The sequence below is a fragment of the Homo sapiens genome, chromosome 12, assembly GCF_000001405.40.
Source record: "Homo sapiens chromosome 12, GRCh38.p14 Primary Assembly".
Classification (NCBI taxonomy): domain Eukaryota; kingdom Metazoa; phylum Chordata; class Mammalia; order Primates; family Hominidae; genus Homo; species Homo sapiens.
In genome coordinates this window covers 120489361-120503111 of record NC_000012.12, presented here as the reverse complement: position 1 = coordinate 120503111, position 13751 = coordinate 120489361, and the positions used below count along the sequence as shown (strand labels likewise).

Below are 13751 nucleotides of genomic sequence, written 5' to 3'. Positions count from 1 at the left end.
CAGCCTCCCAAGTAGCTGGGATTACAGGTGCGCGCCACCACGCCCGGCTAATTTTTTTGTATTTTTAGTAGATAAGGGATTTTACCATGTTGGCCGCGCCTGGCCAGAAAATATATTTTTCATCATTCTTTCAGTCCTCTTCCATAAAAAGCTACTATGTAGGTTGGGTGCAGTGGCTCACGCCTGTAATCCCAGCACTTACGTAGGCCGAGGCAGGTGGATCACGAGGTCAGGAGTTTGAGACCAGCCTGGCCAGCATGGTGAAATCCTGTCTCCACTAAAAATACAAAAAATTAGCTGGGCATGATGGTGTGCTCCTGTAATCCCAGCTACTCAGGAGGCTGAGGCAGGTGAATCACTTGAACCCAGGAGGTAGAGATTGCAGTGAGCCGAGATCGTGCCACTGCACTCCATCCTGGGTGATAGAGAGAGACTCTGTCTCAAAAAAAAAAAAAAAGAAAGAAACCTTTTCACTAAGTCCTTGTTGGAAAATAAATGTACCAGCAAAATCCTGCTTTCATGTCTTATATAGGGAGCTTTTTTGTAAGAGTACACTTGTTTTATAGCAAAAAAAAAAAAGTTTGAAAATGATGTAAGCTAACCTTCAGTACTCAGAGATGGAGCTGAGCAGACTTCTTGTCTCCTTGTTATAGTCTACTGTTGTCTTTCTTTTTCATTTTTTGTCATTTTCTTTTCTTTTTTTTTTTTTTTGAGACAGAGTCTCGCTCTGTCACCCAGGCTGGAATTCAGTGGCGCGATTTCAGCTCACTGCAAGCTCCGCCTCCCGGGTTCACGCCATTCTCCTGCCTCAGCCTCCCAAGTAGCTGGGACTACAGGCGCCCGCCACTGCGCCCAGCTAATTTTTTTGTATTTTTAGTAGAGACGGGGTTTCACCATGGTCTCGATCTCCTGACCTCGTGATCCGCCCGCCTCGGCCTCCCAAAGTGCTGGGATTACAGGCGTGAGCCACCGCGCCTGGCCTTGTCATTTTCTAAACTTCTCCCTGAATACAGTCCACTGTTTGATGTTAAAATGAGGCCATAAATTTTTTTAAGAGACAGGGTCTCGCTCTGTCACTCAAGCTGGAGTGCAGTGACCTGATCATAGCCCACTACAGCCTAAACTCCTGGGCTCAAGCAGCCCTCCCACCTCAGCCTCTTAAATAGCTGGGTCTACAGGCATACGCCATAGTGCCTGGTTAATTTTTTAATTTGTAATTTTTTTTTTTTTTGGAGACCGAGTCTCCCTCTGTCACCTAGGCTGGAGTGCAGTGGTGTGGTCTTGGCTCACTGCAACCTCCGCCTCCCAGGTTCAAGCAATTCTCCTGCCTCAGCCTTCCAAGTAGCTGGGATTACAGGTACCTACCACCATGCCCAGCTAATTTTTGTATTTGTAGTAGAAACAAGGTTTCACCATGTTGGCCAGGCTGGTCTCGATATCCTGACATCAGGTGATCTGCCCACCTCAAGCCTCCCAATGTGTTGGGATTACAGGTGTGAGCCACCATACCTGGCTGCCATAATTTTTTTTTTCTTACTAGAGACAGGGTCTCCCTGTGTTGCCCAGGCTGCTCTCGTACTCGTGGGCTCCCACCTTGGCCTCCCAAAGTGCTGGGACATGAGGCACTGCACCCAGCCATAAATATTTTGAGTGTGGATGAATCATAAGGTTTTAAAGAGGCCTTGCTAAGAAACTGCAGAAATTGGTCCGGCACAGTGGCCTATGCCTGTAATCCGAGCACTTTGGGAGGCCAAAGAGGGCAGATTGCTTGAATCCAGGAGTTCGAGACCAGCCTGGGCAACATGGCAAAATCCCATCTCTACAAAAAATAAAAAATTAGCCAGATGTGGTGGTACACACCTGTGGTCCCAGATATTTGGAAGGCTGAGGTGGGAGGATCATCTGAGCCCGGGAGGCGGAGGTTGCAGTGAGTCGAGATCACACCACTGCACTCTAGCTTTGGTGACAGAGTGAGACCCTGTCTCAAAAATGAATTGCAGAAATCAGTCTGTGACTTGGCTAACAGTTTGTGGATAACATAGTTCAAAGGTATGTGAAAGGGCTTCAGATACGCTGCTTCCTGACCCAGCACAGTAAGGATCATTTACGTGCCTTCACTTACAAGATCTTGCCCTGTCACTAAAAAGCTTCTAGATAGAGCTAGCTATATACAACTCTCTCAAAGAACAGCAGCTAAGAGCATTTGATAAATGCTTAGAAAAACTTAGCTTACATTTTCTTTTCAGCCAGCTGGAGCCTATTGGCTTTTGAAATTAACAGGAAGGAACAGGCACTGGAAGGAGCTTCATAAACCATCAACCCAGTCTTATCTCCATAGCAACATGGTTTTCTCACATCTGAATAAAAAAACAAAAAAGCTGCCAACTTGACAGTAAATATGGGACAGATCATATTCAACTAAAACTCCCAGTGTCTAGCTATCAGTCTTGAATCAGCTTTTGGGTCTGTAGCTAGAGACAGATCATCCGTTCTGAGTAGGGCTTAACTGGACAAACTAAAGCTTTGGAGGCCAAATTCCCTGTGGGCTTCAAATAGAAATATAGCCAGGTCACTAAAGAGGGAAAAGGGATAGAAAAAATATGAGTTAGGCCAGGTTCGGTGGCTCACACCTGTAATCCCAGCACTTTGGGAGGCCGAGGTGGGCAGATCACGAGGTCAGGAGATCGAGACCATCCTGGCTAACATGGTGAAACCGTCTCTACTAAAAGTACAAAAAAAATTAGCCTTGCGTGGTGGTGGGTGCCTGTAGTCCCAGCTACTCGGGAGGCTGAGGAAGGAGAATGGTGTGAACCTGGGAGGCGGAGCTTTCAGTGAGCCGAGATCGCGCCACTGTACTCCAGCCTGGGCGACAGTGAGACTCCGTCTCAAAAAAAAAAAAAAAAGAAAAAATATGAATTAAACCGGGTGTGGTGGCTCGTACCTGTAATCCCAACACCTTGGGAGGATTGCTTGAGCCCAGGAATTCAAGACCAGCCTGGGCAACACAGGGAGACTCCAGCTCTACAAAAAATTCAAAAGTTAGCTAGGCATGGTGGCATGTACTTATGGTCCCAGTTACTTTGGAGGCTGAGGTGGCAGGATCACTTGGGCCCAGGAGGTTGAAGTTGCAGTGGGCTATGATCACACCACTGCACTCCAGCCTGGGCAATAGGAGTCTCAAAAAAAATGAAAGTTAGAAAAAAGGAACATTTTCGGTCTGTTTATATAAATACAAACATAAAATTACCCCAGTTGCAGTCTCCTGTTTATTCCACAGTACCTCATCCTTTTTTGCAGACAGCAGGGAAAAAACTGGCACAATAGTCAAAATTGCCAGGTTTGGTGGCTCACGCCTGTAATCCCAGCACTTTGGGAGGCAGAAGTGGGCAGATTACCTGAGGTCAGGAGTTCGAGACTAGCCTGACCAATATGGTGAAACCCCATCTCTACTAAGAATACAAAATTAGCCGGGCATGGTGGCACATGCCTGTAATCCCAGCTACTTGGGAAGCTGAGGCAGGAGACTTGCTTGAACCCAGGAGGCAGAGGTTGCAGTGAGCTGAGATCACGCCATTGCACTCCAGCTTGGGCAACAAGAGCGAAACTCTGTCTTAAAAAAGTCAAAATCTTGCACCTCTACCCTGAAACCCTTCCAATCCTAAAGTAGCACAACTTTGCTAGGATTCTTAAAACCACACATTCTGAAGAAAAATAAACTTCCAAATATGTTACTGACCTAATTCTACTCTTACAATGGGAGTTATCACCCATCAATTCCAATCTATCGCCCTCTTCTGTGTAGCAGTCACCTAGCTGCTTAGAAATCCCAATGGCATCTTAGAGATCCATGGGAAAACATAGGCTAACTACAAGTCAGGACCCTTCTTGCAGTTTCCCAAGATGGGTGTGGGTTGTTCCAGCCTGTCTTATTTCCTTTCCACCTACAAGTCTGCCATATTTGCTTTTCTACGACTGCAGTCCTCTTAAAATTGATAGCAGGAAACCTCTGATAGCTACTTGTCCCCAGCTTTAATTGGGTCTTTTCAGGAAAAGGTATCAATTCACACTTGTTCCTGACCACAGCAAAGCACAGCACAGCAGGCTGATAAAGTCTTTGCAGGAATTTACATTATTAGAAGAGCATGAAAACTGCTGCTCAGAAACATTTACTTTCCCCTAAGGCCACCTTCTTTCTAGGCAGGGGAGGGGGCTAGACAAGGGTCCTGGAATCCATTTCATTATCCCAACTTTGTTTTGAGCTTATTTCCATTTTATAGCCATAGAAAGCTTCAAGTACTACTACATACACATCCATCACCACAACCTGAGGCCAAAGGCCCAGAACATTCTATAGCAATGTCTTAACAAATATCCTTAAACATTGATTTTTTTCAGATTAGGACTAAAGATTTAATTTAAATGTTTCTTTATCATGCACTGCATTTCTCAACATGCACAACAGTTGCAGGATGGGTGAGAGAATGTGACTAAAGAGTACTGAAATACCCCACAGAAACTTAACTTCTGTAAGGATGGACTCATCCCCACCAACCTGGGCATCTGATCAAGTGACCGTCTTCAACGCTGTTATTTGAACAAATTGTAATTCACACACATACACATCTGCATCAGATTTATTTTTTAAAGGAATGGATTTTGAGAGAAAACAACGTGGGCAGAAGTATGGAATAGAAAATAAATACAAATGTAGGCTATTCTGCTAATTGTTTTATAACCACGACAAACTAGTACAGAGAATGCCCTGTACAAAACACAACAAAGGTTCAAACATCGAGATGTTCCCTTAGCAAGGCTGAAAATTTCAGTCTCTGGTATTTGGAATTTAGGCTGCAGTCCTTGTTTTTGGATGGATCACTGGGTGTGTGGCACAGTCCATGCTTTTAACCAGATTTGAACAGAAGAATGGCCACTTGGCCCAGGTAGAAGTAGATGAAGTGTTTGGTTTCATGTGTCACATAACTACCGAAGTTCCTCCCCACGATGCAATGCCAGGTGGGATTGTACTTCTTGTCAAATTCCTGGAAAAGACAAAAGAAAAGAACTAGGATTTTAATTACCAGAGGTCAGTGTTTGCCTCTTGGATAAGCCAGAGCCTGTAGGGGCAGAAAGGAGGAACGTCAGCATCTGCAAATTCTTAGAATGAAAGAATGTTCCCCAGCTCCAAGCCGCCTACATAGTACATTAATACAAACATACTTGCAGTCTGAGCGAAGATGGGAATGGAGGCTGAGGAGGTCAAAGGACGAAAGGTCAGCCCTAAAGACAGGGTGTTTTGTTATTATGGTAATTACACCTTCATACCTTCTATAATATTCATTGACAGACGGTGACATCAACAGGTGTAGTTTATCATGTTCTGTGTAGAGAACTAAACTACCCTACTGTATTTGCCATGCCCCCAATTCCAAGAAAACGGCAAAAAATTAGCCCATCCCATTCCTCATCACAAAGATCTTAACTGCACCCCTGCAACACAAGACTTTTCCAATAGGACAAAACTTCAAACAGCATTGTATACCAAATGATTGCGGATCAAAATTAAATTTACAGGAACACAATACTGAAGCACTCCACTGTTGCTGTAAAAACTGCTGGAAACAGAATCTGTCAACTGGCCAAATTTTATCCTTAATTATTATCCAAACAGCCGTCCTCTTCACATCTATCCGGATGATGCTAATCTACTACCCTGTCCACTAGGTTAGCAAGTTGTAGGAACAACTCTTCACCATTTCTCCCACCCTAAGAGGTACTGGGGAGTAGAATGCCTGTGGGGGGCATTGGGTGGCAACGGTTATCTTTCTCTGCAAAATTCTTACAAGTGTTTGTGGAGCGTCACACAAGATTTAGCTACTCTAACTGCACGCAGTGCGAAAACCTTTTAAAGCTATGAAGGGGAGTAACGCTCTTGCAAGCTAGAGGCACGCACTGCTGCGTTTGTCAAAAAAGGCATTTATTTCTGTTCCATCTGAAGTCTTTCATCTTCCCATTCTCGACTGGAACCCTCCCACGGCTTAGGCTGCCAGCTTTCTTCCCTTCCAGCAAACACTGCTCGAGAAGTTGGCAGTCCTGCCGGCTTTCTAGACTGCCATTTACCAAGCCCCTACCCCAGCCCCCAGCCCCGCCACCACCCACCACCTTCCCTCAACTCCCCACTGGAAGGCTGGCAAGATCTCCTCCCGGCCCGGCTGGAAACACCCACGCAGCTCCCCCCTCCGGAACACCCAGATGGATCCTCGGCGCAGGAACCACACAGAAGGGGGAACCGCTGCTCCCTGATCTTAGATACCGTTGCTAGGTGGCGCTTTCCCCCCGCGGAGCTGGGTAATTAAAAAAAAAAAAAAAAAAACTTCGGACGCCGGGGGTCTGGTCTTCTCCACAGGAGCGCAAAATGCATCTGCGTCCTTTCTGGAAGCTTCTACGCCCCAAGCCGCCAGCAGTATTCCCGGGACCTGTCAGGCGCCCTTAGGAAAGCAGGATCGGGGGGAAGGAACCCCCTGCTCCCGGCTGCGTATCGGCCCCCGCGCCCATCCTCACCTTCTTGATATGAGCCGCAATGTCCTTCTCTATGTTGTATTTCTCCAGCGCCTGAGTAGCGCACTCCACCGAGTCCTGTTGCATCTCTTCCGACATGTCCGCATTTTTGATCACGGCCTTTCGGTCGCACATGGTTACCTAGTGGGCAAGGCCTGGGGTAAGGGGTTGAGTTGGGCCGCGCCCCCCAGGCACTAACTGCCCCCACCCCGGCCGGCGCCACCACGGGACGACGCCCCCCACCCCACTTCTCAGGAAGCGCGGGCTACGCGGAGGGCTAAGTCCGGAGTGGGGCGAAATAAGGCAGCGAGGACACCCCCTGGCCCCCCGAGTTTCTCACCGTGGAGAAGGGGGCTGGCCGACTGCAACGGTCTCCTGGGGGAGGTGCTAGCACAGCTCAGGCCCGGCTAGAGATACCGTCGCTACCGAAACCGTGGCGCATCTAAGCAGCCCCACGCCAGCCGCCGCCGCCTAGTGCTCAGGCCCCGCCCTGCTCCCGCCGGCCCCGCCCCTCGCCGCGCGACCCTATTGGCTTGACGCAGCCCACGGCATTCTTCCATTGGTCCATTGACTCCATGGTTCCCTCAGGATCTTTCTCCTGCATTTTGTTGCAGACCACAATGCACCGCTCACGGCGTCGGTTGCCCGGGCAATGGGCCGCACGCTACGAGGCCCACACACCCAGAAGGTGGAGCCCCGGCCGGGTTACGAGGACCACCCAGCTGTCTGGAGAGGTAGGAAGGGAGCTTCTGCCGGGGCCAAGGGAAGTGATTCCAAATTCACGGAGGTTGTCCCAGGGTGTGTTCTCGAACAACAGTCTCTAGAAGTTGGTGGCCATTCCTGCCCCCACCCCCCCGCCCCCCCACCACGACAGGTCGCATGATCTCGCACCCCAGGTTAGCAGGATTACGACAGAGGTGGCCTCTCCCTTTACTGAAAGGGTATCTCTGAAGCAGGGCCGGCTTCGTGGGTAAACCAGCAGTGCAGTCTCACAGGAGGGACCCTTACGTTTTCATTTTGCACTGGGCCCCATTTGTAGTCGGTTCTGCTCTGAAATATTTAGGGGAGGGCATCCTCAGGATTGAGGGAGGGCTTCAAGGAGGGAGGGTGTTTCCTTACGAATTAAGGGATTATCCCCAAGAGTGGGGTCTCTGCCAAGCAATGCGGACATCCTTTAAGGGGTTGGGGATGGGGATCCGGGTGGATTTGGGAGTGTTGAGCCCCGGGGTTTTTGTCCAGGGTGAAGCTTCTTGCTCAGGTGAGGCAGTCTTTCCTGTGTGGGAGAGATTCTTGGTTGGGATTTATCTCTGAGGAGGAGGTATTCTAATGGACGAAAAAGCGGCCGTTAGAGAGATGACGTCCCCTCTGGCTTAGGGAGGAGACACGAAGTGGTTAAAAAAGCAAGATCTTGGGGGAGTTGAGGGACAAGTCAGATCTGGATTTAAATCCCAGCACTGTCATTTACTAGCTATTTGAATGTCTTCTTTAAGTAAAGGAGGACTAAATGTAAAAGGAAACCAGTTCATACGCTTGTTAGCAGTATTAAACATTTGAAGTTCTCTCAGCACAATGTGAGGCACATAGTAAATGATCAATGAATCTTATCAATAATTGTCAGTTTATACAACTATCCCAAAGGCCACAGCAAGGTTTTGAACAACCAGCTCTGAAATGCCTATAATGTATTTTTCGAACCTCCATAAATAAGTTATCAGGTTAATCATGTATCTGGAAGCTTCCTATTTACATTTCTACATTTTCCTCTGACCATCTACTCTCATTACTCCTTAAAACAATTTGTGGCTGGGCATGATGGCTCACACCTGTAATCCCAGCACTTTGAGAAGCCGAGTCAAGGGGATCGCTTGAGCTCAGTAGTTGGAGACCAGCCTGGGCAATATGGCCAAACCCCATCTCAAAAAATAAAAATAAAACAATTTGAGCAGAGGCACACAACTCCAGAAAGAAAAAGATGGGAATAGGCCGGGTGCGGTGGCTCATGCCTATAATCCCAGCACTTTGGGAGGCCGAGGCGGGTGGATGACCTGAGGTAAGGAGTTTGAGACCAGCCTGATCAACATGGAGAAACCCCATCTCTACTAAAAATACAAAATTAGCTGGGCATGGTGGCACGTGCCTGTAATCCCACCTACTCAGGAGGCTGAGGCAGGAGAATCACTTGAACCCGGGACACAGAGTCTGTAGTGAGCCGAGATCGCGCCATTGCACTCCAGCCTGGGCAACTCCGTCTCAAAAAAAAAAAAAAGGAAAAAAATGGCAATAATTAGAACCTTTTCAGGTTCAACATATGCATATCAATTAAATCAACAGCTTTTTCCAGTTCCATGTTTCTAATGATGAGATTCAGGGTTTGAGGAGTTATAATATTACTATAGTACCTCTCTTGAGGAAGAAATAGGTTGACAACAAGTGAGGACCCTGGAAATGCAAATGACACTAAAGTAAAGCCACGGTGACTCCACTAAGTAGAAACCCCAGGGAAATTTCCTAAATCATCCTCATGATTTTTTTCCATATCTACACTACACTACCCCTGTTATTATTTATTTAATTTTTACTATAATAATACTATCATCATAATATAGTAATGTAATTGTTCATTAATAATACCTTATATGGCCGGGTGTGGTGGCTCACGCCTGTAATCCCAGCACTTTGGGAGGCCGAGGCAGGCGGATCACGAGGTCAGGAGATCAAGACCATCCTGGCTAACATGGTGAAACCCCATCTTTACTAAAAATACAAAAAAAAAAAAAATTAGCCGGGCGTGGTGGTGAGCGCCTGTAGTCCCAGCTAGTTGGGAGGCTGAGGCAGGAGAACGGCGTGAACCCCAGAGGCTGAGCTTGCAGTGAGCCGAGATCGCACCACTGCACTCCAGCCTGGGAGACAGAGCGAGACTCTCTCAAAAAAAATAAATAAATAAAAAATAAAAAATAATACTGTATATAATATTCTATATAATAATTTTATTTGAACTCCCTTTATTTTTTAAATAAGTATACTTTTTATTTTATTTTATTTTTTTGAGATGGAGTCTCACTCTGTCGCCCAGACTGGAGTGCAGTGGCGCGATCTGGGTTCAAGTGATTCTTCTGCCTTGGCCTCCTGAGTAGCTGGGATACAGGTGCACACCACCATGCCCGGCTAATTTTTCTATTTTTGTAGAGACAGGGTCTTGCCATGTTGGCCAGGCTGGTCTTGAACTCCTGAGCTCAAGTGATCCGCCTGCCTTGGCCTCCCTAAGTTTTGGGATTACAGGCGTGAGCCATCGCACCCGGCCTAATAAGTATGCTTTTAAAAGACAAATTTATATCATTACCATAAATGGAAAGCCAGTCTCATTGGCCATAAATAGAAGGTAACTATAAAATATAAATATTAGAATATAAAACATTTGTTTTTGCATTGTTAAACTGATCTCAGACACTATGAGTGATATGTGTCCTGCACTTGGAAAATGCTACCCTCGAGGAGGGTTCTTAAATGGGGTCCACGACCGGATTGCAAAGGTTTTCCAAGCCCTCTGGAATTATGCACAAAAATGTATGTAGTGCTTACAGGCATTTTTCCAAAGAGAGGATCCTTAGCTTCCATCAGATTCATAAAGGGATTCAGAACCTAAGGAGGATTAAAAAAAAAAACTCTTCTACAATAACCCAGACTCCTAGAATAAATGTGAGATTCCTTCACCAGGTCCCCCTGAAGTGGCCCATATGGGGTTCTGTAGCATCACACATTTTGGCAACTTACTATATCTACTCCTGCCTGATAAACTTGCTTAAAAATCCTTCTAAGCCTGAAAACCTGCATTTTTCATTCTTGCCACAGGAAATTATAACTAGGGGTTAATGTTTCTGAGAGCACGGGCTTTGGAATCAACCTAAGCTATGAGCTCCTTCAAGTTAGTTAACCTCTCCAAGGCACAGGTTCCTGATTGTTATTTTTTATTTTTATTTATTTATTTTTTTTGAGACGGACTCTTGCTCTGTCACCCAGGCTGGAGTGCAGTAGTGCGATCTCAGCTCACTGCAACTTCACCCTCCTGGGTTCAAGCGATTCTCCTGCCTCAGCCTCCCGAGTAGCTGGGATTACAGGCGTTTGCCACTACACCTGGCTAATCTTTGTATTTTAGTAGAGACAGGGTTTCACCATGTTGGCCAGGCTGGTCTCGAACTCCAGACTTCAGGTGATCCACCCACCTCGTAGGTTCCTGATTTTTAAATGGAGATCACATCTTCGTTATAGGTTGGTGGCAGGGATTATATTAAATAATGCATCTAGAGACCTAGCCACGGTATAATAAATAGTAGCTATTGCCACTGTATATTGAGACCTTACCATGTACCAGACATTTAGACACATTATCTCATTGGCTTCTCATAACAATTCTACAAGGTAAGAACTGTTCGTCTCTTTATTATACAGATGAAGAAAATGAGGTTCAAAGAGATGAAGTCTCTTGCCTAAAGTCAGTGACAGAAAGTGACAGAGCTGGGATGTGAATCCTGGTCTGACTCTACAGTCCCACATGGTAGATGGAACCTCCGAGCAACACCTAAACAAAAGGAGTTGATGCCTCCGAACAGAGTAATGTCGCTGGAGACACTAAGCATCGTCGGCCCCTGGCAGGAGCTCCCTAAATATGTGTTGGATGGATGGAAGAAAGGATGGATAGTTCAGAGTACTTCAGCCTTGATTCCTCCGCAACAGACACCTGAAACTTGACCCTACATTGGTTCTTGGCCATCGTGATCTTCCTTGGACAGAATCACCTTTCAGCTCCGGTCATCAGACTTTCCCAGGGCCCTCAGAAAGCCCTTCAGAGTTGTTACTCACAGGCAGGCTGAGGGATTCCTTACGGGGTCTGCAGCTCTCCTCACCTCATCCACAAGTAGGACCGTGGCCTGTTCCTCACTACTGCCCCAGGATCACTCTGTTCCCAGCCCAGTCCAGCAATCACTTGTCTAGCTTTCTGGAACCTTGAGTACTTTCTTGAACCATGAGTCCTGTGACCACCCTAGCAGCTCTAACCCTCCCTTATCTGAAAGGAAGTGTGAGGTGACCTTGCAGGTCCCAGAGTTGATTGAAGACCCCATCCAGAAAGAAGGCACCCTGTGGGAGAGATTGCAAGGCCTAGGTCTGAATCCGGAAGCTTCCACCCCATGGAGAAGGGCTGGCACCAGCCTGGGGCTGGCAGTGGAGCTGAGCTTTGGAGCCAAGGACTGTACTGCAGTGCAGGGAGAGTGAGGCCAGAAAGGCTGAGACAACTCAGGGAAAGAAAACCTCCCTTCTGGCTAATAGTCAAGCACCGCCTGAGTAGACCAACACTCTCCTGTCCACAGGGGCAGCAGATGAAGACACAACCAGAGAGGACTAACAGGCCCCCTCAGCTCTCAGTCAGAGGGCAGAGCAACACAGAATAGACATTAAAGGAACAGACTTTGAGGCCAGGCAGCCTTGGGTGTGCATCTGTCCCTACTAAGCCATGTGACATTAAACAAGTGAGTCCACCTCTCTGAGCCTCAGGTTCCTCATCTGTAAAATGGGGATTATAAGAGTTCTTGTTTCTCAGGGACAATGTGAGGATTAAGTGAGATGATACACATAGAGAATGTGGTGCAGTACTGGGCACATGGCAAAGATCAGTGATGCTAGCTACCACTTATCATTAGTGTTCCTGTAGACCAGGACTTCTCAACCTTGGCACTATTCACCTTTTGGGCCAGAAAGTTTTTTTTGTTGTTGTTGTGGGGAGCTGTCCTATGCATTTGAGGATGTTTAACAGCACCCCTGGCCTCTACCCACTAGATGCCAATCACACCACACCCCCAGTTTCAACAACCAAAAATGTCTGCAGATGGTGCCGAATGTCTTCTGGAGGGTGAAATCACTCCCCAGCAGTTGAAAAGCACCACCCTAAACAATCTGGACTGAATTTGAATGTCACAGATCCCAAGCTCACAGCTCCATGTAAAGGCCACAAGGCAGGCAGGCCTACTTGCAGATGAAGGAACGGAAAGAGCAACAATTACAGATCAAGCGGCTAGCTCCGGTGTAGACTAAGAGGCGGGATCTGTAGTCTGCTCTAGGAGCTAACAAGGCCTCTGTGACTCAGTAGGTGACCTCAGTGTCACTCTTTAATTATATGCAAAGTGGTCTTGTGTTAACTCTTAATTATTCTAGGGCTCCAAACAAGAAAATAGGTAGTTGGTATCTGATTTCTGGCATCAAGATCCTGATTCATTGACTGGGAGAAAATCTGACTCTCCAAAACTCTTTCAGAGTTCATTTAGCCCTTCATTTATGACTCTGGGGAGATTTCTGAGCGAGAGCTAGGTGTCAGGCCCTGTTCCAGGTGCTGGAGATGCACAAGAGAACAAAATAGGCAAAGTTTCCTTTTTATGGAACTTATAGCAGGAGAATAAAGATAAAAACAAGCAAAAATATTTATCTCTGATAAGGGCAATGGATAAAAATAAAGTAGAATAGGCCAGGCACGGTGGCTTACGCCTGTAATCCTAGCACTTTGGGAGGCCAAGGCGGGCAGATTGCCTGAGCTCAGGAGTTCGGGACCAGCCTGGGCAACACGGTGAAACCCCGTCTCTACTAAAATACAAAAAATTAGCTGGGCGTGGCAGCGTGCACCTGTAGTCCCAGCTACTTGGGAGGCTGAGGCAGGAGAATTGCTTGAACCTGGGAGGCAGAGGTTGCAGTGAGCTGAGATCGCGCCACTGCACTCCAGTCTGGGTGACAGAGAGAGACTCCACCTCAAAAAAATTTAAAAAAGTAGACTAAGAGAACCAAGCATCGCTGGGTGAGGGGTCTTGTTTTAAAGAGTTTTCTAGGAAGACCTCTCTGAGAAGGCACCATTTGAGCCAAGACTTGATGACCTGGCTACTGCATGAGGATGGAAGGTGGGGAAGCTGATGGGAGCAGCGAGAGAGGTGGGAGCAGTTAGAGGCTATTGCAGCAGTCCAGGTAAGAAGGAATGGTGGCTTGGACAAGGAGGTGGTAGCAGAGATAGGGCAGAGATGGCCAGATTCCAGATGTATTCTGAAGGTAGAGCTGACAGATTTGCTGAGCAATTGGATGCAGAATAGGAGGGAACCAGAGGCAGTCAAGGATGACTCCAGACTTGTGAGCTGAACAATGAGAAGAATAGATTGAGATGGGGA

The 13751-nt window shown here is 47.1% G+C and overlaps 1 protein-coding gene and 1 long non-coding RNA gene across 4 annotated transcripts in view, besides 4 other annotated features; one reads left to right on the top strand and one right to left on the bottom strand.

Moving 5' to 3' along the window:
* Positions 1 to 4618: 4618 nt before the first annotated feature.
* The window catches only part of DYNLL1 (dynein light chain LC8-type 1), a 28652-nt gene continuing 19519 nt past the window's right edge, over positions 4619 to 13751 (bottom strand). The window contains exons 1-3 of one of the 3 annotated variants that reach the window (NM_001037495.2): positions 6896 to 6999; positions 6559 to 6710; positions 4619 to 5039 (exon numbers count right to left, since the gene is read on the bottom strand). In NM_001037495.2, coding sequence (NP_001032584.1) covers positions 4902 to 5039; positions 6559 to 6690 — 270 coding nt within the window. In that variant the 5' untranslated portion in view covers positions 6691 to 6710; positions 6896 to 6999 and the 3' untranslated portion in view covers positions 4619 to 4901. Of the gene's footprint in view, positions 5040 to 6558; positions 6711 to 6895; positions 7000 to 13751 lie in introns of those variants that run through there. The other 2 variants (NM_003746.3, NM_001037494.2) reach the window with 2 other exon arrangements.
* Positions 6596 to 7115: a silencer, noted in NCBI's record as "silent region_4953". NCBI's record gives its function as "represses an Ori minimal core promoter by ATAC-STARR-seq in GM12878 lymphoblastoid cells {active_cell/tissue: GM12878}" and the evidence as "EXISTENCE:reporter gene assay evidence [ECO:0000049][PMID:35858748]".
* Positions 6596 to 7341: a biological region, named in NCBI's record as "H3K27ac hESC enhancer GRCh37_chr12:120933574-120934240".
* Positions 6675 to 7341: an enhancer, noted in NCBI's record as "H3K27ac hESC enhancer chr12:120933574-120934240 (GRCh37/hg19 assembly coordinates)". NCBI's record gives its function as "activates a minimal SCP1, AML or CMV promoter by ChIP-STARR-seq in primed H9 embryonic stem cells {active_cell/tissue: H9 hESC(primed)}" and the evidence as "EXISTENCE:reporter gene assay evidence [ECO:0000049][PMID:30033119]".
* NRAV (negative regulator of antiviral response) lies at positions 7166 to 12774 on the top strand. Its single transcript, NR_038854.1, has 2 exons — positions 7166 to 7289; positions 11002 to 12774. It is a non-coding gene; the product is annotated as a negative regulator of antiviral response (long non-coding RNA).
* Positions 7406 to 7455: a silencer, noted in NCBI's record as "silent region_4952". NCBI's record gives its function as "represses an Ori minimal core promoter by ATAC-STARR-seq in GM12878 lymphoblastoid cells {active_cell/tissue: GM12878}" and the evidence as "EXISTENCE:reporter gene assay evidence [ECO:0000049][PMID:35858748]".